We start from the raw sequence: 23,847 nt of genomic DNA, 5'->3' as shown, positions 1-23,847 counted from the left end.
TGGGTGACAGAGTGGGACCCTGACTCAAAACAAAACAAAACAAAAACAAAGTTCATTTTTTTTTTCCCTCTGGGATAAGTATTTTTACTTTTGAATAGGGTCAAGCCAGTCATTTCTAATTTTATCAAGCATGGAACATAAAGCCCTCAGAGGATTCTAAACTGATAACCTTGTGTGTGCATCTCTTCTGATAGGTATAAAAACTGTTTGCCATAATCTGGGGTTGTAAGTATCAAGAAAAGGACAATTTATAGTGGTGAGAAGGTGAATTACTACCACTCAGAATCCAACATATTTGCAATGAAAACTTCAGGTTGGTTGGAAACACTTGCCCACACATACATTTCCCTTCAACACCTGATGACCTGTCTCCAAAGGCATTATTTTGAGGCTGAAGTACAACTTATCTGCACAGTAGATGGATAACATCATATATTCTTCCTGTAAAACTGGCAGGAATTTGTTGGCCTAAAGACAAACACACACTCTCCCTTTAAATAAAACACCTCATTTTGGGTGGCTTGGGAAATAAAGTCACCATCCATAATGTGTCTAAAGATATTATGGCCCATTCACCAAAGAGTTAATGGTAAGACTCCTCAAATCAGGATTTTGGTCCAGGGAATTACTAAGCAGGCTGTTTCCAATAATTAAAGTTGAAAGATGAATAAATGATGAAATGTTTAGTTATATCTTTCAGCTTGAAATCCACTTAGCTGTGTTTAAAAGCCACTGGAACCTCAGCTGACTAGCATTAGATCTAGTGACAAGTCTGAATTTTCAAGTCATAAAACTTTCAGCCTTCTCTTTCCATGCAAATCTGTAAGCACCAAAGAAGTCTACAGTCTGGAAGCATTTTAGATATAAGCAGGCAATCACTTTAAACTTTTCTTGTTGGCTGGGCAAGAAAGATGGTTGTAGAGTAAACAGAGAACATGAGCTGGTGTGAGGGGACTGTAAAAATTATATAGTTAAAAAGAAGCTGGCCCAATTCCCTGACTGGGAGCTGGGAGAGAAGGAAGGGGGTTAGCTCTTCCCCCAACAAGTTGCAGTGAGAATTACTTCCCACTGTGCTGCGAGGATTTGTACCTTGGTTAATTTACCTCATCTCCTTTGGAGAGGACATTCACTCCACAAAGACAGGCACAGAACGGAGTACAAAATACTAGCAGTGCCAGTGCCTGTGTTTGGGGACCAGATGTGGCTAGCACATCTGGCCAAGGAGGTCCAGCAGTGGGATCTTAGTACCTCTTGGTTCTGCTTCCAATGCAAACAATGTTCTGCAAGTCCTTCAAGTCAGTGTTATCTGATTACTCACATCCAATGGAAGAGCTTCTGCAGGTGAAGATCTGGGCCTCCCTTGGGCTGGACTTTTTAAACCAGACAGAGTCTTTGGGAATCATTATGCCCACAGATAGGCCTAGAAAAGGATTATGGACTTGTTCCAAGATGATGTCAGAGCAATGGTATTAAGTGGTGTAGGGGAACGCAGGTCACAGTATTCTACCACAGTGTGGAATTTGCAAAGAGAAGGGAAGCAAAAAGCAATGAAGAGGGAAAAGATGCATTCTTTCAGAGTTGCTGGAGAGCCCCTGCTGTGCTGACCCTAGGCTGAACCACAGCAGATTTTTAGGACAGGATAAGGACTTTATAGAGGCAAGCAATCAAAGCATAGGATGGGAAAGACACAACCTTAAATCAGGTAGGCAGTCTGGTCCTCTGTGAGGCAGCATGGTGTAATGGATAGAATACAGGTTTTTCCATACACAAGACATTGGAGCAGTCTCATAACTTCTCTGAGATTCAAATTCCTTACCTGTAACTTTGGAATAATGATGAATAATGATTTACAGTTATACCCAATAGTTAACAGTTATACCATTGGGTATAGCTGTAAATCTGAAATGGCTTAATGTCCAGCCACCGTATGTTAGTTTCCTTTCTCGTCTTCTCCAGTGAACACGGGTTCATGAAGGGATTGGACACTGGCATAAAAGAAACATGCTATGGCACAAGAAATACTTGGATAAATCAAGAAAATAGATGAGTCTAGGTTAAAGTATCAGAGAGAACTGGACAAAAATCAATACACAAAAGTCTGAGATGAACATTTTCAAAGAGGCAAGATAGGCTTCGGCGAGCAGGGCTCATCATCTCCCTAGGAACATTCCAGAAGAGAAACTACTCAATCCAAGTATCTGTGGCTGACTGAGATCTTATACTTGGGGTATCTGTGGGCTCCACTCTCTGGAATGAAACATCCGTGGTTTGGGATTAACTAAGATAGTTCTGGGTTTTCCTTGGGTTGTCATGGTCAGATTCTTTTCACTGAGTCAGTGGCTAGCTACTCTTTTGATGGGAGCAGCACATCGTTCAAATGGCTGCAGCATTGTGCCAAGCCTTTTGGGACATGGAGAAGGAGTTCTTGAGGACTGTGAGGATAGTGGACATGGCAAAGGGCGAATGGTTTGCATATAGCCGTCAAAAGCCACCAAAAAGCTCAAGCCAGCTCCTGTCCACCCTTGACCACTATCGCCTCTACACTCTAGTCAGGACAGCTCCCTGAACTTGATCAAATCAGAAAACTGGATGGAGATCATGTACTTTTTCCCACCATTCAGAGAGAATCTATGTTGACTCTGTAGTTTAACACTTAGGTTCTGTTGTAAATGGGCTCAGATCGTTGCTTGCTCCAAAGTAAGCCTCCTCCGTCTGACATTTTCAGCAAAATTTGGTTCACAAACAAAGGCCATAATGACTGTGTGGTAAGTGGGAAGAAAGAAAAAAAGCTAAGCCCGGACTCACCCAGGAGGGAACCAAAACATCTCTTGGGATGATGAGTCCATCCACAAACTGAACTAATTCAGACTGAACTTTTAAGTACTGGGGTTCAAGTGCAGGATTTCAAAGCCAAAGGTGACCACAAGAACCTGAGACACCCAAGCAAACCTGGGAGGCCACTGGACTTTCTACAAACTGAAAGAGGCAGAGCTAGAATGCTCAATCTTACCCGGATCTCAAGGGGCTTGTCGACCCCAGCTGACATCTAGATTACAGATGTATTGGTAAAATACGTGAAGTTCAGAAGGTATTCAGAGAAGGAAATGAAGATCTCGGAGGTTGGTGAGATGATCAGGAAAGGTAGTGTGTAAAAGACCCCAGAGCAAGTCTGGCACGCTGAATGGGAATGTGAGTAGGGGATGGGAAAGCAGGGGGCAGAGCATGCCACTCTGAAGCAAAGCCTGTAGAAAGTACAGGGGAAAGAAAGAGCTGGTGTGTGCTGGGACTCGGGGGACAGAGTGGGAGGAAACGAGGCTAGAGAAGAAAGCAGGGCAGGGAAGGGAAGACTTTGTATGCTACACTATGGAGCTTGGACTTGGTCCTGCCCTCCAGGGATGTGGTGTTAATTAAGGAGGCTGAGAGCACAGGTAGAGGTGAAAAGCAGAATATCTTCCAGTTTACCAGTGGTACAGAGCCGAGGCCTCTGGCTAACATTTTGAGATTCATTATTGGTAACATCCTTGTGTATCATGGGAATGTCTATCAACCTCCAGTCTGGAAGCATCTGCCATCTGGAGCATTAGAATCCCTGTTTGCTGAAGAGCTAGGTCTTGGCTCCTGTGGAACAGCTGCAGGTATCACAACGGATGCTGCCTACTGGGCCTGCCTCACTGAGGCAGCGTGGTGAGAGGGGAGCGTGGCAGGTCAACCCTGCATCCCTTACAGCACCAGAAAGTCCCAATAGCTCCTTCCCAAGAGGAACTTGACCTCTCATAATCACTGTATGTCCAAACACAATTACAAATAACAGAGAACACAGACGGGTCCTTTGAAACATATACATGTTGAGTTTTTAAAATATTAAGCTTAAGGGAAGTGGTGTAAGCGGTGGGGGAACAATCCTGCTGCTGTTAGAGCCATGGTCAATTTCTCCAACGTGTGCAGAGCCAATTAAGCAGAGCAGTAAAACTGTCATTCCCAGCACATAACCTACGAGTGCATCCCGGCTCCTCTGTTCCACGCGATGTACGTGCTGATGGCAAAAAAAAAAAACAGTTCTTTCCCCCAAAACCACTTCAGAGGCTGGGAGCAGAGGATGCCCCCTCCCAGGAAGCATGGCAGCTTGTGTGCACATGCTGGGGTTTGGCGGGGGGCGGTCATAATCAGAGATGCTTTTTGCCAGGCGAGATGATTACATACTAAATCTCTCATTTCCATGGCATCTGCTTTTCAGCCCAGCAGCTGGGCAGAGAGGACCAAACTACTAACCCCACTGCCTCTTTTCCACAAGATAGTTGCATACAGATCAATTCTGTGGGACTTTCTAGAGGCAGCCTGGTTGCCTTACCTGACCCAGATGAACCCAAAATACCAACACTGCCATATCTGAACTGATTATATGTCAGGACTAAGGAAAGACTTTATTAATTTATATTTATAATTATTCATTAAATGACTTTTTTAAGCCTCACAATGCTGTGAGCAAGGCAAGACTACCCCATTTGACCAATAAGGAAACCCAGGCTCATAGAGATCAAATCATTTGCCCAGGTAACACCATCAGTAAGTGGTAAGGATGGGCCTTCGCTTAGGTTTAACTGCACCTCATATCCACTATGCTTCTCTGCTTCCTGCAGGTAAAATAAGCCTCCCTGGGCTCACCAGGGAGGCCGGGAGGCAATAAGAGTGGTCAAAGGCAGAAGTCCATGGAGAGCTTTCACCCTTATATCAATTCCCTCCATACGCCCCTCCCCACATCCAGATTCAAGGGTGAGGCTTCCCATTCTTCTCAATACCCCTGGTGCCCATCAAAGTGTTGGGTTCTGGCAGGTGTTCCACCAATGCTTGGTCTCCAACAGGAGACCTATTTCCAGAGCTCCAGGGGAGGTGGCCTACTCTGCCAGAAGGGGTAGGACTGCTTCTTTTGGCAACCAAACTTTACTGCTGTGCTTAGTGGTGCTTGATCAGCTAAAATTCTTCACAGGATCCTGCTCAAGGCTGGGGGTGGGGAAAGGGGGGTGTAGAGAAGGCAAGGAAGAGCCTTCAAAGGCTTCATTTGAAACAAAGAAGCATCCCTTCATTGGCCTCAGCAGAGACAAAAGCGTATCTCAAAGAAACTCTAAGTAGGGGATATGACACTAAGGGAAAGCCAGATCTTGGCTTAGGGTAAACCCAGAAGCACTGTGCCCAGCCCAGCCTCAGGACAGGGTTGACACGCCCTCATCTTCCAGTGCTTCCTCTCTTCCCCCTGCCTTCTTCCATCATCTGGGACTGATAACAAATCATTCACGGGATGGGCATGTGCTTCCAATTAGATATTTCCCCAGCTAGGTCCTGTTTTCTTTATCTTGCAGGACTGAGCACATCGTGGGAACAGGCACTAAATTTCAGGTTTCCTCCCAGCTCATCCCTCCCCTTTCCTTTCCTATGTATGTGCATTTGTGTGACATTCAACCTAACTGAGAAGGGACCAGTTTGCCAGAGCAGTGGGTTTCCACTCTGACTTGGGCCTGGTGTTGTTAGGGAAAGCAGCCACTTTCTGCATGGCTACCAGAAGCGGTGACAAACTTGGGTTCCCTATTGTCCTCCTCCACCGAGTCTGGGTAACGTGTGGACTTGCTCTATGGAGAAGCACACTGCCATACGGTTTCTCCCCTCGCCAGCCAGGCAGAGCCTGACCTGGGTCTCCCCAAGTGTAAGCACTTCAGAAAACCAAACTCTAGGTTCGGCAGCTCAGTGGCTCACACCTGTAATCCCAGCGCCCTGGGAGGCCAAGGCGGGAGGATTGCTTGAGCCCAGGAGTTGGAGACCAGCCTAGGTAACATTGAGAGACCCCACCTTTAAAAAAAAAAAAAAAATTAGCTGGGTATGGAGGCATGTGCCTGTAGTCCTAGCTATGTGGGAGGATTGCTTGAGCCCAGGAAATCAAGGCCTCAGGGAGCCATGATAGCGCCATGATAGCGCCATGAGTCTAGGTTAAAGTATCAGAACTGGACAAAAATCAATACACAAGAGTCTGAGATGAACATTTTCAAAGTGCATCTGCACTCCAGCCTGGGTAACAGAGTGAGCAAGACCCTGTCTAAAAAAAGAAAAGTAAACTCTGGCTAGGAAAGGCACCTAGAGGCTAACACACTGGGGTAGCAAGTGAGCAGTTATTTTGTATGTATTTGTGATAAATGAAGACAGACATGAGTATGGATTTCCCTTTCCATACTCAATAAGAATATGTATTGAAATTGTAGAAGTACACTTCACTTGGATATCTCTGCAATCATTTAGGTAAGAATTATACAAAGCCAAAAAGCAAATAAAATATCCTCCTAACCCTATAGATATGTATACTAAAATGATGCACTTGCAAATTTGTTTAATACTTCATTAATTTAAACAAGAGTAAATTCATACTGTGAACCAAGAATAGGGTGACTCAATACTCAATAAGAATATGGAATTCAATGAAATATAAGAATAAGAATTCAATAAGAATTCAATGAAAAATAAATACCAGTCATAATAAGGAGATTCTACCCCAGCAGCAATTTCTGTTAGGATGCCACAAGGGCAGTGTGAGAGAAAAAGCCAAGAGTAGTGGTTGAAACGTAAGATTTTAAAAAGCAGCCTCAACAACCACAGAGATACCAGAATTGAAGGAGAGGGAAGAGAGTGTAGCACTGTGGTTATAGTGAAGGTTCTGAGTTAGACCACCTGTGTTCAAATCCTGGTTCGTCCATTTTTTATGTGTGTGGCCTTGGGCACAATGATGTAACTTCCTAAATTTTAGTTTCCTCATCTGTGAAATGGAGACAATAATATGACCTACCTCATGAAGCCTGGCATGAGGATGATATAAGATGACACATTTGAACTGGTGCGTTCAATAAATGTTAGCTGTTGATACCTTGAAAATAACAGTAGAAGCAATGATGCAACGTGATATAACTGGCTTTTCCCATACCATAGGATGGGTCCTCATAGGAGGCAGCAGACAGGTTGAAGTCTGAATTAAGAGAACTAGCTTGTGAGCAAGCCTGTTTTTTATTTTCAGGGAACTGAGGCGGTCTCCATGGCACCTAAGAGCATCCAGAAACAAAGACGAGACATAGCTGCCTTGCTGTTTTGTCTCCTCTGCCCAATATGGATTCATGCTCAAGTCTTTATAACTCAAGGGAAAACCAAACCCACATTAGTAATTTTAACAACAACAACAACAACAACAACACAAAGCACAAGACACATAAATGAGATGCAGGTGAGGTGGGATTAGGGCCAGGACGAAGCAGGAAGCAAACTCATCATAAAACCACTATAAAAACTATGTAGAAACTCACCTTTACCTAAATCAGAATGGAGTCTGATGACAAAGCAGTCAAAGCCAAAAGTCAAGAAAATGCGAAACGTCATGTACACCTCAATCTCACTTGCACTCTGTCACTTCCCCCACACACACTTGCAACAATCCCATGGCCACTTTCAAAGCTCTGCACCATGGGACCATTAGCCAAAGCACATTTAGTTTTCTCGAACTGCAAACATGAAACGAGGAGAGGACCAAAGGCAAACTCAGCCAGAACAGAGGGAACAATGGAACAGTGGGTTGGGATTAAACCATGCTTTGCAGGACACAGAGAAAGTCTAACCTAGAGATCTTTTTCTGACCCAGAGTGAAGCGGATGATTTTGCTTTGAGATGAGTCCTTGGATGATGCACTGCATGATAGGAAAGAAAAAAGTGGAAGAGCTGAATGAGGAGAGAGAAGATACATTAGACACACAAATCCTAAGAGTCTTCTGACAATGGGGATGTTGCTGTTTCTTTCCCCCCCTGCCCACTGTTTTCTATGACACACAGCTTTCTTTCTAGGTCTCAGTTTACTGATTTGATAGATTTCCAATGTGAAGAAACTGCTTTTAAGATTATCTAAGAATGCTTGTGTGTATGTATTCATGTGTGTGTTTCTTTAAACATCAAATGTCTTTCTTGCCTTAAGGCCTTATTCTCAAAATATGGGGTCCCTCACAAGTAAACAAACTTTATGCCTTTCTAAAGTATTGAGATGTTTCTATTTCACATGCTTGTTCTACTGGGGTGCTTTTCAGATGAATGTCCTCAGTATCCCATAAAGGTGACCCAAAACAAGATGTTTGCAAACCTATACCCAGATGTTGCTGGCCTTGGGGATTTTTGCTTTTAATGCTATAGAAATGACCATTTAATGCTTGTTAAACTCACTAAATTCTGTTTTTCTTGTACTATAAATTGGTACATATAAAGAATTTTAGTTAGGCTTAATAAAAGAAAAAGTTAAACTTATTTACTGCTTTCTGAAAGATAGAAATATTTATCTTTCTTGCATCCATACATCCTGTACCATGTTCATGAAAGGATCTGAGGTAAGAAATAATTTATTGGTTTTACTAGTCTTAGGCAGTGAAGAGACAGAGGAGAATAGAGAAAAATATAAAGTCATTTTCTGGATTATTCTTTAACAACTGAATACTGATTATCTGTGTAGACACAGATGGAGGAAAAAAAGCAAGTCCTGGAGACTATGCTCCTCTCCTGGACTCTAGACCAGTGGGGAATTTCACAGGGTGAAATGTGGATTAAGTTCTTGGCCACCATGTCAGTTATGAGATGAGCTAAGGGGAAGAAGCAAAGTGAGCCTCTATGAAGCTGTCATGGAAGATTTGCTCTGATTCCTTCATGCCAGTGGAGCAAAAAAAAATCTCAGATTTTCTTTGCCAACTTCCATAGCTCCTTTACCAGCAAACTTCATGGAATGTTGTCCAAGCTTTAGTATTTGCTACCCCCCAGGGGTGCTGAACCTAGATAGCTTCAAAATAGTTTTTAGGCAGAGTTCTAACAGAAAAACAAAACAAACCTGGCATGTGGGGGGTTTGCATCAACATTTGACATTAATAATCAAGCGTCCAAACCACTGCCCTTGGAATTTTGGTTATCAAAGATAGAATTTGGAGACCGAGCCACTGATGTAATTTTATCATTCTTAAATTTATAGCCAGAGTGTTAGCATGGGATAGCATATCCCTAGACCTTGAGAACAAGATTATCCTTTGGAAATACAATTAGAAAGTATCAGGATATAGTGAATAAAACCAGTCTTCTGCAGAAGTAACCCAACCTGGGCAAGATGAAGGGATGAGGACATACAGCAACTCCAAAGCCCGGTCTATGTCACCACTGTAGGGTCAGGGGGCCATGATGGCAGGACACTTTGTAGCTGGAATAAATGAATGTAAAAACCTGACTCAAGTAAGTTTGGCTCTTCTTTAGGTAAAGCACTCGTTAGTAGTAGGATGTTTTGGCTTACTGGGAGATGGGTGCTCTGACTGGAATATCTGGTTATTTTAAGAAAACAAACGCCTACCATGGAAATGGATGCCTCAGGTTAGCAAAGCTCAGTGACACAAGCCACTATTTCTCAATGCATGTTCCTTGGAACCCTATGCAGTGAGATGCTCTATAAAATAAGAAGAGTGACGTGGCCAAGTTTGTAGAATGCTCCTTTCTGTGTCACCACCTGTCTGAACATTCATAATGCATACCTGCTCTCCTGGGCTTCCTCATCTCAAAGAATAATACCACCACTTACTTAACTGTTCAAACCAGGAATCTAGGCTTTATCTGTGATTCCTCTCTTTCCATTATTCCCGAGAGTTAATCTGTTTGCAGGCCTCTTGGCTCAACCCCCTAAGGATTCAGAATTAGTCCATCTCCATTTTTGCTTCTATTACCTTGGCCCAACTCATCTGTAGGATTGCAAAGTCCTCTCAACTGAGGTCCTTCCTTCCATTCTTGCTCCTCCACAATCTCATTCTCCAAAGAGAAGCAAAGGTGGATTTTTTGACCTGCCAATCAGATCCAGTCTTTCTACTACTTTAAGACTTTCCCATGGCTTCCTGTCACCCTTAGAATGGAGTCCAAACCCTATCCAGTTTAACTGGTACTCTATGACGGGGCCTGAGTGCCACAGCAATGTGCAACTCCAGGGACCACAGGTCACACTGTCATCCACATAAATGGTAGCAGCCCTCTCTCCTTCCAAACTACCTTATCACTGATCCCTCTCCTCCCCTACTAAGCTATAATAACCTTGTTTATGCTCTTCCAACACACCAAGCTTACCCTTCATGTCCTGAGAGAGACCTTTCTATCAACCAAACCTAAATTAGCAACCCAGCCCCTCTGAATCCCATCATCTTATTATAATACTCACCACTATCTGATAGCTCCCTTTCCTGTTCATGTGCTTGTTTGCCTGCCTCCTCTAGGAGCATAGGAGAGCAGGCACCTCGGCAATCTCATTCATTCTTGACTCCCAAGTGCCTAGAACAGTGTCTGGCATGTGGGAGGCTTAATACCAATTAAATAAACAAATGCATATTGGCAGGTTCAAGGATCTCAGTAGACCTACAATGAGAGCCATATAGCAATTTAACCCAAATTATCTCCCAATATTTTCCCCCCACAGAACTGCAATATGACCCAAGTTAACATCCCAGGGAATGAGCACTCAGCAGAATGCAGTCTGGGAAATGACACCCTGATCATTTAAATAACCCATGTCCATCAGGGAAGCTCTGACTGGGAGTGACTCCCACTCAGGCAGTTCTCCAGGGAAAGGGTTTGGCAAATGGCTGATAAGGCTGTCTGTTCCTCATTGCTAGTCCAGGCATCTCTCCCACCCCACAAATTCCCACAATGCAAACTGGATATAAATAGATAATTAATTATGGGACCTGATTTGCATTACACCCATCAGTGCTGGTTTTAACATCATCACAACTGGGAAATAGCACTTCTCATGGGGAAAAAAGAAGGCTGTAACTGTCTAAAAGGCAGCAGCTGTGTTTGAGCGGCTTTGTGCTCTGTCCAACTAAATGGGTAATAAAAGGTATATCAAGGTGTGTGAGAAGCCTTATGATTATTAATGCTGGTGCTTTGGGGGAATGAAAAGAAAAGGCCATTACTCTTCAGCACATATTGGATGAAATCAAGCAATCAATCTGATCAGTGACATTTAGGGTTTATAGCTGAAGTCTTGTGGCTTAAAAGAAAACAGTATGAACTTTTCTGTAGAACTTGACCTCAAGTCAAAAACTCTAGTTCCTAAAGTCTTCCTTTTTTTTCTACCATTAAGACAAAAGTTTTACAGGGTGATGTTATTTCCACTGTAGCACAGTAGAGGGTAACTACAGTGGCAATTGGCTTGTACCTGGTGAGTATGACTGGCAAACGTCAGTCCCCCTGGGAACAAAATCCAGACCCCAACCCTGCAGATTACTCCTGCATTGTGGGACTCTCCCCATCTCAGTTCAACACAACACAGTCACATTTAATGGTAACTGCTCCCGTTAGGCGATACTGCCCCGCTCAGGGATGGCTGCCTCCTTCCCTTGCCACCTTTCTTTGGTGCCCTCTATATTTCTGTTCTGGCAAAGCAGAGGCATCCACAGGAATAGAACTTTTACCTCCACTAAGTAAAACTACTCTCATTTATAACAGTGAACATTCAGCTTGTAGGGAGACACACAAAAGGTGTTTGAAGTCTATTTTAGGGGCTGTTTATTGTCTACGAGCATGTGTGTAATAGGCCGGAGTAATAGCAGGAGCAGGTAATTAGCTTTGGCTGCTGGCAATTCTGACCTATAAAAGTATACATCTCTGCCAGACACAAGAAGGGCTCCTCACTGCATGCATTTCAAGGCCATGCTAATTTCCCACTAACCACCAGTAGCTCTCAGCATTGAAGAAGCACAAATGAAAAAGCCATACAGGATAGCCTAGAGATTGGTTGGGGTGGAGGAAGGTGCCTGAAAAACAGAACCATCAGTTGGCAAGGAGCCCCCACCTGGACTGCATTTCAGCTTGTGCTTTTGACTGCTGATGTGGCGCTGGCTGGTGAGGCTGGCACGGGGCTTGGGGAGTGACTGGCACCTGCTGCTGAGGGGTGCCAGCCTGGCACTGGGAGGGGGCCCCGGCCACCTGGGATACGGCGGGCGGCAGAGGTGAGGAGAGGTGCTGCTTCTGGGGCTGCTGCTGCTGCTGCTTGTATCGGGAGAGGCTGAAGAAGAGGCCTAGAATGGCCTTGAGGTTTCCATTCCTGATCTCTGCAAGACAATAAAGAGACTCTTGTCAGATGGGGAGCTCTTCTTCCTGTTCAATGGGCTGTTTCAGTCGGCACGTGAGTTTGATTTCTTTAGGATATGACAGGCTTCCTGAACACTTCATTGGTATCACAGGCAATTAAAATCAGGCCTATACCACAAAGAAATTAGCTTATTCTCGCCATTAGGATTGGAGTGGATACAGGAGGCAAGTGCAACTGGATGTCTGGTAGGTGCCAAGAGGAAATTCTCAGTAAGGACACCAATGAAAAAGCAAGCGTCTCGAGCAAGACCGTGCTTGTTCTACAGGCAGGGGATGGAGGAACTCTGGCACTGGGGGAAGCTCATGGGTCTTCACAGTGCACTTGGCTTCTGCCAAGTCCATGTTCTAAGCTTCAAGCCACAGTGAGTGTGCCAAGTGGCTGCTGTCCCACTCCATGATCTGCGCTCTGCTTTCCCCAGTCGTCCTACTCTCAAATACGTGGCTCTGTGTCCCCCATCTGCTGAACAGATAACTCTAATTTGGGGTGGGTATAGGGTAGGCTAGAAGGACTTGCTTCCATAATGGACTCATACAAAATATTCCCTACATTAAAAGAAATTAGAACAGAGTGGGAACAAATTTTTGTTTTTATTCCAGACAGTATTTTTCAATGTTAAAATGCATTTGCCTCAAAGTATGCATAAAGAGTTGCAGAGGAGAATAAAATATTTATTCACAGGCAAAGGCTATGGCTCACGAGGGGCTTCTCCTTGGGAGATCCCTCCTTTCTATGCAGTTAACGCTAGATGCAGATGGCCAGAGTCTGAGCAGATCCTGAGAGTGAAGTTCTGGGGCTACTGAGCGTGAGGGACAGAGGAAAGGGAACCTTGGGGGCAAACTTACTCAACACTCTCTGCTTTCCTGTCATCCTAGGATGGGTTTTTCTTAACTGGCAAGGGGGAAAAGGCAGACGTGAAGCAAGAAAGCTTCAAAGGCCTTGTTAGAGGGGTAGGTAATGCACACTTACAGGTTAGCCCCGGGCTGGGAAAGAGGCTGCTAGTGAAGGAACAAGAGTTTCCTCCAAGGCTTAGTTGGGGGGCAGAAAGTATGAATGGAGTCCTTTCAGAAGCAAGCTCCTTTCCACGCAGAGGAGGAAGTGCGCCCTGCCAGTGCCTTCCCCCCAGTGTGATTTGCTGATTAGGTCAGGCTGAATTATTTCCCTTGGAGCATCCCTTTCTCCAGGCTCTGAAGAAACTGACAATACGAACTTCTAGAATCCAGCCTTCACACCCTACTTTGGGAGCTAGCAGATTCTGATCACAGGACAAAGTAGACAGGAGCATAGCATTTGGAAAACCTAAGCCGTGAGTTCCAATCTGTATTCTTACCACTTCTTAGTTGTGCAACCCCAGGCAAGTCACTTAATCTCTCCGGGCCTCAGTAAAAGGGCAATACGGACACCGCTTTGCCCCACTGCACAAGGTTGTTTTGCAGAACTAATGGGAGCACTTAGGCAAAAGCACACTTTAAACAGTGAAGTCCTTCATTCATCTTGGTTATTATATGACTATAGCCCCAGAATCCTGAATGAGATTCTCATACAGCTCCAGCTTCATACCTTAAAAATGACAGTTTTTACTATGGTGACCTTTTAACCTATTGTGCTAACTATGACGCTTCTGAGAATGAAAGCCAGGGAGTGGGGAGCTCTTAATTATACCAGGACCACAGTTGATAGCCAGGACTGATGTGGACAAGTCAGGATGCAAAGTCACTGCTTATAAACCACTCTGTGTGATGTGTGAAGCAGAGAAATGTCCAAGGGGTGGGCCAGCCCCTCAGTCTCTTTTGGTAATTCAGCTTTAATCCTTCAGCCATGCTTCCTTCCCCACACTAAGGAAACCAAATGAGAGCCACACACCTGTAGCATGTTCCACTTCTGCTTCCAAATGTTCTCAGTGGTACATGAGAATCACAGAGTGTGAGGCTTGGATGAAATAATTCAGCTGGCTACTCACTTTACTTATGGGAAAACAAAGGCCCACAAGGTGAAGTGACATATCTATAGTCACCCAACTGGGCAGTGACAAGAGCTAGGGACAGAATCAAGATAAGCCGGCCAGGCACGGTGGCTCACGCCTGTAATCCCAGCACTTTGGGAGGCCGAGGTGGGTGGATCACGAGGTCAGGAGATTGAGACCATCCTGGCTAACACGGTGAAACCCCATCTCTACTAAAAACACAAAAAATTAGCCGGGCGTGGTGGCGGGCGCGTGTGGTCCCAGCTACTCAGGAGGCTGAGGCAGGAGAATGGCATGAACCCGGGAGGCGGAGCTTGCAGTGAGCCAAGATCACGCCACTGCACTCCAGCCTGGGCAACAGAGCAAGACTCTGTCTCAAAAAAAAAAAAAAAAAAAAGAATGAAGATAAGCCAAGCAAGGTCTGACATGCTAGTTAGTGTCTATTAAAGTTAAGAAAACAATTTCCCCTCAAAACTGAATTCACTGGAGGGAGAAAGTACTGCTAATTATGGGGATAGATGAAATCTATGTAAGATTTACTTTTAGTGCCTTTTACAGTTATCAAGTCATATAGTTTATAACAATAAGAGCTATTATTAACCAGTGTGTATCAGGCTAAGCTCTTTATATGCATGATCTCATTTAATCCTTACAATATGGGAAGTGAGTAGGATTATCCCTCTTTCACATAAGGGGAAACAGAAGCTCAGAAAGGTTTTATGACTTGTCCAAGGTCATAAACACTGGAGCTGGGATTTGAATCTAGGTTTTCCGACTCAGGGTCCAGTTTCCTAACACTGTGTAACTTGACTTACTTGTATAGCCATCATGTTTTATTTTAATAAATAAAATAAATGCTAGCTGGTAGGCATTTGAGTATTCTTTATTTAAATAAATAAATATTTTTTATTGATAAATAAATATATAAATATATATAAATATATTTAATGTTTATTTTATAAAATAAATAAATAAATAAGTAAAATCCTAGCTGGTAGGCATTTGAGTATTCTTTATTTTTCTGGGATGTCAAATATTCTGTGATGCATTTTTTTTTTTAACCATGCAAGAAAAAACAGGAGAGGAACTAACAATTCAGCATACCTGGAGGATCAGGGGTCATCCACTGTAAAAAGTAGGCACGTTCACATCAGCTCCCTCCATAACCTACCAGCCCAATCCCAGTGCAAACAGCATCAGTCCTGTTGTATTCTCTACCTACCATTGTCATTTAGTCATTTATTGATCAGAATGGCCATTGTTCCCTAAACCATTTTTTTCATTTGTCAGAGACTACAGTGCTCCTCCAATAAATATATTTCCTCTTAGGAGGCAGCATTTTTATAACAAACAGCTCTCATTTTTTGGAGCCAGAAAATCTTGTGGTTAAATCTCTACAGTCCATCGTTTATACACTTTGAGATTTTACAGGATTCAATCTCTCTGAGCCTCAGTTTTCTTCTTTAAAATGGGCATATGTCCTACTGTACCTTTCCTGTAGGATTGTTATGAAAGTTAATTGAAGATTAAATGAGAAAATGAGGCCGGGCATGGTGGTAAACTCCTGTAATCCCAGCACTTTGGGAGGCCGAGGCAGGCAGATCACAAGGTCAAGAGATTGAAACCAGCCTGGCTCACATGGTGAAACACCGTCTCTACTAAAAATACAAAAAAATTAGCCAGATGTGGTGGCACGTGCCTGTAGTCCCACCTACTTGGGAGGCTGAGGCAGGAGAATCGCTTGAACCCGGGAGATGGAGGTTGCAGTGAGCCGAGATCACGACACTGCACTCCAGCCTGGTCAACAGAGCAAGACTCCATCTCTAAATAAATAATAAATAAATAAATACATAAGAAACTGAGTGCACCTAGGATACTTCCCGACTCTGTACTTCCCTTTTTTGGCTGAGAAAATGTGGCCATTCTACCTGCAGCCTCCTCAGAACCCACCACAGAGCTCTTCACCCAAAGGAAGCCTAAGAAGTGGTCCATTCTCTCTGCTCATCCCCTGTGTGCCACAGTCGCTGGTGTCCAGAAAGGAAAACCACGAATGATCTAACATTAGAGAAAACTCAATGGTAATCTTTCTGGTTTTAAAAACAGTTTTACTGAGTTATAATTTCATAAAATTAAGTATACAATCTAATGATATTTAGTAAATTTAGCAAATTCTAGATTTAAAATATTTCTATCATCCTAAAAAGATTCCTTGTGCTCATTTACAATCAATCCCCAAACCCACTCCCAGGCAACCACTAATCTGCTTTCTGTTTCTACAGATTTGCCTTTTCTGGATATTTCGCATAAATAGAATCATGCAATACAGATGGTCCCCAACTTGTGATGGTTTTACTTACAATTTTTCACCTTCACTATGGTGTGCAAGCAATAGGCATTCAGTAGAAACTGTACTTCAAGTACCCATACAGCCATTCTGTTTTTCACTTTTGGTATGGTATTCAATAAATTACATATAATATTCAACACCTTATTATAACACAGGCTGTGTGTTGGATGATTTTGCCCAACTATAGGCTAATGTAAGTGTTCTGAGCACATTTAAGGTAGGTTAGGCTGAGCTATGATGTTCAGTAGGTTAGATGTATTAAATGCATTTATTTTCAACTTATGGTGGGTTTATCAGGACATAACCCTACAGTAAGTTGAGGAGCATCTGTATATAGATTTTTGCATCTAGTTTTGTTCGTTTTGAGACAGAGTCTCACTTTGTCATCCAGGCTGGAGTGCAGTGGCACAATCCCAGCTCACTGCAACCTCTGCCTCCTGGATTCAAGTGATTCTCCTGAGTCAGCCTCCTGAGTAGCTGGGATTATAGGTGCATGCCACCACGCCCGGCTAATTTTGTTGTTTTCAGTAGAGATGGGATTTCACCACATTGGCCAGGCTGGTCTTGAACTCTCGACCTCAGGTGATCCACCCACCTCGGCCTCCCAAAGTGCTGGGATTAAAGGCGTGAGCCATTGTGCCCAGTCTGCAACTGGCTTCTTTTACTTAACATACTGTTTTAAGGTTCATCGATGTTAGAGCATTTGTCAGTTTTTACATTCCCATCATATAGATACACCATATTTTGTTTATCCATTCACCAATTGATGGACATTATAACTGTTTAATTTTCTTTTCAGATTACAAAAACTCAAGAGTGCTGAATGTGCTGACAGCCACACAGTTTCTACCATGGGTGGTCTATAGCAGACAGTATCTAAAATAGCTAGAATTATATTCTTTCCATATTTCCAAATGGTATTTGTCTGTGTTCCATGAGGCTTGGTAAGCCAGCTCCACAGGAAGCCTAAAAAAAACCCCAAAGCCCCACAAGAATGTTTCCCTCATGACATTCCCCAAGGCTTTGGAAAAGGAGTTACTATTTTGTATCTGATTAACCTCACTTTCTGGAGTTCTAGAGAAGGAAAAACATGTAGATGTAGAGAGAACTGACTTGCCTGAGGAGACACTAGCCAGTTGTGGCTAAACCCAACCTGGAGCCCTGTTCTTTCTCTTCCTGTGGCCACTCTTGTGGCAACAGAAAAGCAAATTGCATGGGCCATATTCTCATATTCCAATTTCTATTTGAATTAGTATTGCCTTGACTCCACTTTCTTTGGGTTCTGACTAATCGCTTTCTTCCCACTGGCTGGTCCTAATCTGCATAGATGCTGTGGGTAATGTCAGGCATGAAGAGTAAGATAAATAGGAGTTATTTTCTTTCAACATTTTTAAAGAGAAACTTCAGGCTTGGTTTACATGGCACAAGTGCTGAAATAATCTAATACAAAGAAACCTGCTTTGTAGGGTATAAGGGATTCAAAGCCAAAGGGAGGGCTGTGCAAACCACAGAGCTGCAGAACTCCTATTCAATTCCTTTGAGCCATGGTTGTGTGAGGTTTACCCAGCTGATTAAGGACTGTGGATTCTGCAGCATTGTCCCTGCAGTTGGGCCGGCTGCATAATCAGCATTCACCACTTAACTTGCCCCTCCACTCAACAGCCCTCTGTGTTCTTGCTGCTCTCCAAGTCTGCCAATCACTCTACCCACAGGAGAAGTGGGATGAGAGGATGGGAGCAGAGCCTATGGGGACCCTTCTGCTAAGAAACAGAAACTGAAGGTCTCAGTCAATGCCATACTCAGGTAATATAGGTAGGAGGAAATGGAAATGTTCCACCTGCTGCTTTCACCGTACGGGTCCAGAAAGACCTCCTGCTTTCTAGCTTGGGATGAAAGGAGGAGAAAACTCAGTACCTAGATCTCTCTGGCCATCAGGGCAGCAAACCCAGGACTAAGCTAATCAAATCAGCAAGTGGTTTCACTTCAAAGCATACACTCCTTCCACCTGGAAGGATGTTCCTACTTTTGTTTATCCAATGTCTGCAAGGTTTCCCCCCATCATATTAATATTACCTATGCCTGATCTTCTGTCTAGATTTCCTTTCACCTTCCTTTTCTGTCTGGCAAATGTCTATTCATCCCATGAAATCTGGGGGGAAATGTCCCACTTCTGTGTAGCCCCACTGAGAGCCCCAGCAAAAGTTGATTTGCCTGTCTTTGGTCACCACCGGATCCTGTGCTTACCACTAACACAGCTCTGTCTTATTAACTGGAATCAAGGTTAGTTTAATATGACTGGCTTGATCACTGGTGTACCCTAGTGCCTAGCACTGGGCCTGGCATACAGGATGTGCCCAGGAAACATTTGCTGAACTAGATAGAATATGCCTTACTCCCCAACCTCCATTTCTCCATTGCAGGAGGATGGGCTCAGGGCCAGATAGCACAAACCCCAGGTGTTCTCAAAATGGCCAGAAATAAAGGCCATCCTTCCTCACAGGGGCAGTTTTACAGATGGCTGTGACAGGTGGTGTGTTCTGGGGAAGGGTTGGTGGGGGATCTTGAACACCACCCCAGGGCAAAGGGAGGCCCAAGCTCACAGGACTCTGGCACATCTCCAAGAGCAAATAGATGGGTTCAATCTTCAGGAAAACTGACAGGGCAGGGAGGCCTAGTCCAGGGAAGTTCCCCAAACCAGCAGCACCTCCATGGGGCTCACTCAGGCCTGCAGCCTCTGCCCCCAAGCATCCGCCGTCTGTGCCCTAGAACAAAGGCTCCCTGTGGCTCTCCAGCAGGCGGGTCGGGGCAGGCCTGAGCTGCTGAAATGCTTTGAGGACAGGTGCATACACCCTCCTGAGTGCAAACCCAGCTTTAGACTGGGAAAGGGTGGAGATGTATCTATGGGGCCTTCCAACTGCTGATGTTTTCTTCATCAGAGAAGGAGCCTCAGGGCACTCAGTCATCTTCAAAAGGAGAACAAAAAGCATTAAATCTGCATTACTTTTTAATACACCACACTGCTTTGCTAGTAGTTATGCAGGTGGATAGAAACATAGGCAGTAATGTGCAGTAGCACACACCAGGCCTTTGAATCAGCAGATGTGGGTAGTTTAGCCACTGCTGATCTTGTGGGCCTCCTTTTTATAATGTGTAGCTTAATCTCTTTGGGCCTTGGTTTGCTCATCTGCATGAGGGGGATAATACTAATACTGACCCCATAAGGTTGCTGGGGGTACTAAATAAGATATAAATATGCACAGCACTTAGCTCAGTGACTGACATGTGGTAAGTTCTCAATAAATCTATCCCTGTAATGTAACATGATGTCAAGTGAGATATTGCCTGTACCCTGAAATTATGAATAAGGCCAAATTTGAGGATTAAAGGCTGTAAGTACCCTTGCTTTTTGTAAGTTTGAGAATGTGGCAGACGTTGGGGCCACTTTCCCAAAGGAATGCAGCAGTTCACATTTTTAACACTCATATCTTCATCACTCCCCAACCTCCAAAAAATATAAGAAGATCTAGATGACAGAATGTCATTTTGGGGAGACAATGTTTGATGATCATGGAGAAAGGATATTTTCCTCCCCTCACCAAGGAGGCAAGGCAGCAGAGTCCTTGGGCCCCTTGAAGTCAAGGGAGTGGTAGCTCTAAGAATCGCTCAAAGTGGGGGTGCTGGCAAGAAGGAGGGCCTGGCATTCCAGTCCCAAATTGGACATCCGCTTAGCAGAGACCCGGCTGATCTGCCTCTTGGCCACCTGAATGAGGAAAAGAACCGGAGAGAGACTGTCTGGTGGGGGACCGCTGCCAGGTGACAGGAGGCCTTGCAGTTCCACCCACTGCAAGTGGAAAATGGAGCCCACACGTTCCTGCTAGTCCTATGGTAGGTACCGGAGGGATCATAAGACTGAGGTGAAAGATCTGGCCAAGTCTCACAGAAGACCACTAGTGCCCCGGGAGCTACATGGGAGTAAGTCCTGGTCAGCAGGGCCTGCTGAGACTACCAGCTGAGACAGTGGCAGTGATGTATACTGAGGACAGCACCTTCCCCAGCAGCAGAACTCTGCTTCCTCTGTGCTGCCTCAATCCTGGGGGCTCTGGCACAAGAACATGGGAAGGGGAAAGGAGAGAAAGTCACGCCGGCATGCCCCCATCTCTCTTCAAACTCCTAAAGCCATTTACACTGGAAGGAATGAGGGTAAAGAGCTTTGAGTAGAGTCTGAGATTGAAGTTTAAAAATGACCGTCACTGAGTCATAAATATGGGCATCAAGTAATTGTAACAACTTGAAGATGACTACAGAGTTATATATCCTGGCCAAAATATCATTAAGTGAGTCTTGACCCAGCAGGAAGGATGGGGGTTCAACATAGCACAGTTAAGGCAGTTATTGAAATACCACAAAACTCCTTCATGGTTGTACCACAATGGCTTGATACCACAGCACACTGGCTATGGTATGCTCTTCCATGCTCAGAGCCTCCAAGGGTCATCTCAATGTCAAAAAGGGGCAGACAGCTGAGTGTCTTTCTGCATGATGTGCCTCCATGGGCTATAACATCTTCTGAAGCAATGCTCCAGGTGACAAAGAGTTTAAACCTCATTTCTTTTACCTTTATATGGCATACCTAGATTTTATCCACCTCTATCCCAGAAGACGCCATAATCATGAGCTCTGAAATCACACAGAACTGGGTGTAAATCCTGGCTCTGCCACTCTCTAGCTACATGCTTCAGGGATGCCGCTCATAACCTCTTTAAACCAAAGTTTCTTCATCTATAAACTGAGGCTGTTATAAACTCCAACTTTAGTTGTGAGAACTGAAGCCAATACAGATAAAATCCTGCAAAGTACAATTGGTACTTGTTCTTTCAACAAATACTTATTGCATAGATTCTCTATGCCTTGGGGTACAGAGAGGATGGGACAGATGGGGAGAACAAATGAGGCAGAAGTCAGGCCAATGGGTAGATGGCTGAGTAGCCAGGGGTCACTACCAGCCAGGCAGGATGAAGCAGGCCTGCAGAGTCTGCATACCCAAGAGGCCCTGCTGCCACTTGCTGCCAAACACACCTCTGTAAAAGTCCCTGCTGGTGCTCTGCTGGGGGACACAGGCCTGTCCCAGGAGTTCAAGCACTCCCAGAAACTAGGACGAGTATGCCCTGCCACCTACCAGCCAGCACAAGAACTCTCTACCAGGAGGAAATCATGTGCTCCTCTGAATGGGAATTTGCATCTTCCTACTCCCAGCAAACCCCCGCCCCCCAGCAAAGCATATTCCACATGTCAGCCAGCCCTGATCTTATCCCCATGGATGAGGGTCCGTACCCCAGGGCTGGGGAATCTTCTGGGATTAGGACTGACCACACGACAACTGCTTCTGCGAACTCTGGAAGCAGTGTGGCCGTGCCTGACTGGGAACAGGTCCAGCACATCAGAGTTATTAACTGAGGAATTCCTACAGTCCCACTCAGAGACGCAATACATCCACGAGGCATTAATAGTGGTCATTTATACCACCCACCCCCAATACCAGGAGAGACTACCACTCAGAAACGCAGCCAGGAAAACCAAGCTTTCACCGTGTAGCAGAGCAAAGGCAAGGAACAGGTCCCAGATGGAATCCATCATGCTTGCAAACTTACCTGCTCAATTTGGCTGTTTCCTTCCTCATTGTTCTTCTCTGCCCCACTCTGACCACCAGAGTCCATGCTAACAGGCCTCCTTTCAAAAAGCAGTCTCACTAGGGAAAGGTGCTATCATCTGAAGCCCAAACTGCTTTACCTGTTCTGGGAAAACTGGAGGCAGGTGCAGCCTAATGAGCTTGGGAGGATGCCTGGGCCTATGGCAGCTCTGAGCTGGCAGCTGCTTGTATTTACAAACAGGAGAGAGCGTGAAAGTTTCAGGCTGACTTGTTGTCTGAGGTGGCTGAGAATTCGAACCAGCCATCTCCAGACCAATAACTAATTTAATAGCAAAACACTGGTGAACACTCATGTGCTAATTAGCCACCAAATTTAATTAAAAACTAATCACAATGTAAAAATACAGCATTGCATTAATAAATCACATGCTTTTTTAAGAGCAAGAAAAAGTGCTGCTTCCTCGAATAAAAGAGATAAGGATTAAGCATTTTTCCCCGGGAACTGTACAGCTGAAATATGCTCTGTGGTGAAGCATGCTCTCTCCCATAGATGAGGCCTGACTTGATAATTAACTGAATTACTAGACAGGTGAATCAAATCAGCATTGTTTAAGCAAGTCTTTCTCAAATAGGACAGCTTCCCCTTCACTACCCTCTCAGGGTCTTGCAGAGGTGGCTGGTATGGTTGAATCCACATTCTTGGAGTGAGTCCTTGGCATCCTCAAGTCTAGGCAACCACTGAGCAACATAAAGGAAAACAAAACCAGAGGAGCCCACAAGCATCCCTTGTCATAATGGTGTTAATATCATTCATAAGTAACAGGTGGGCATTTCTAATGATGAAGAGGCAGCTTCGTGACAAGCGCTCTGACTCACCTTCTGCAGACAGCCCCTGGATGTTTATTCCCTTAGCTGCCAGGAAATTCAAGCAGGCATCTATGTTTTCAATCTAGGAGGGAAAAACAACAATATATACTTAATAAATGTTCAGCCTCTCCAGAGCCATCTCTTATGAGGAACAATGGGAAAACAGAATGCTGTAAAAACGGCCGATGAACGAACGCCAAGATAGGACACTCTCTTTTGTCTGTACTTGCACAGGAAAAAGGTTACCTAATATCCCAACCACATAGTGCCAAAAGTTGAGGTCTTGCATTGCTCACAGCCGCCAAAAATAACCAGGGTGGAATGGGAGCTCTCATCTTGATCACTGTCACCACCAGTGCAATCCTGAAAACTTGAGCAGTTGCCAGAAAAATGGAGGTGGGGAAAGGGTTAGTGGACACACCCATCTACCAGCAGCTGGGAGAAATTTCCAGCCACCAAAGAGGCAGGCAGTCAAATGTACCAACAGTGAATGGGAGTTTTCGCAGGAATCTGGGTAGCATTTACTCACAAAATTCTCCGGATGGCAGGCATTGCAAATGACTGGGGAGGGCTGTGACCTCCTGAACCCCTCTGTCCTTTGTGCTTTCTGTGGCAAGAAAGGACCCACGAGAGTCTGTGAGATCTGCCAGGTTTGCCAGGGCTGACACCACAGCCAAGGGCAAGCCAGTGTCCAGCCTTCCCAAAAGAACAATTAGGTCATTCCCAAGAAGCTAATTTTACTTCAGTTGTCAGGGCTAATTGTTTTTTGGTTTAAAGGAAAATGTTCTGGCTTGATTAATGTCAACGGGTACCATAAGTAAAAGAAATTGCTTTAGACTTGGCACAGAGGT

The 23,847-nt window shown here is 44.5% G+C and overlaps 1 protein-coding gene across 46 annotated transcripts in view; it reads right to left on the bottom strand.

Moving 5' to 3' along the window:
- NAV2 (neuron navigator 2) overlaps positions 1 to 23,847 on the bottom strand; it is a 776,366-nt gene that overhangs the window by 229,599 nt on the left and 522,920 nt on the right. For 28 of the 46 annotated variants that reach the window (XM_017018522.2, NM_001111018.2, XM_047427828.1 and 25 more), the window contains 2 exons: positions 23,006 to 23,078; positions 11,876 to 12,134 (listed from right to left, as the gene is read on the bottom strand). In XM_017018522.2, the coding sequence (XP_016874011.1) occupies positions 11,876 to 12,134; positions 23,006 to 23,078 (332 nt within the window). Of the gene's footprint in view, positions 1 to 7,640; positions 7,710 to 11,875; positions 12,135 to 23,005; positions 23,079 to 23,847 lie in introns of all 46 variants that reach the window. The other 18 variants (XM_017018520.3, XM_047427824.1, XM_024448758.2 and 15 more) reach the window with 1 other exon arrangement.

The sequence above is a fragment of the Homo sapiens genome, chromosome 11 (genome assembly GCF_000001405.40).
Source record: "Homo sapiens chromosome 11, GRCh38.p14 Primary Assembly".
Taxonomy (NCBI): domain Eukaryota; kingdom Metazoa; phylum Chordata; class Mammalia; order Primates; family Hominidae; genus Homo; species Homo sapiens.
This window is presented reverse-complemented; position numbering and strand designations above follow the sequence as displayed.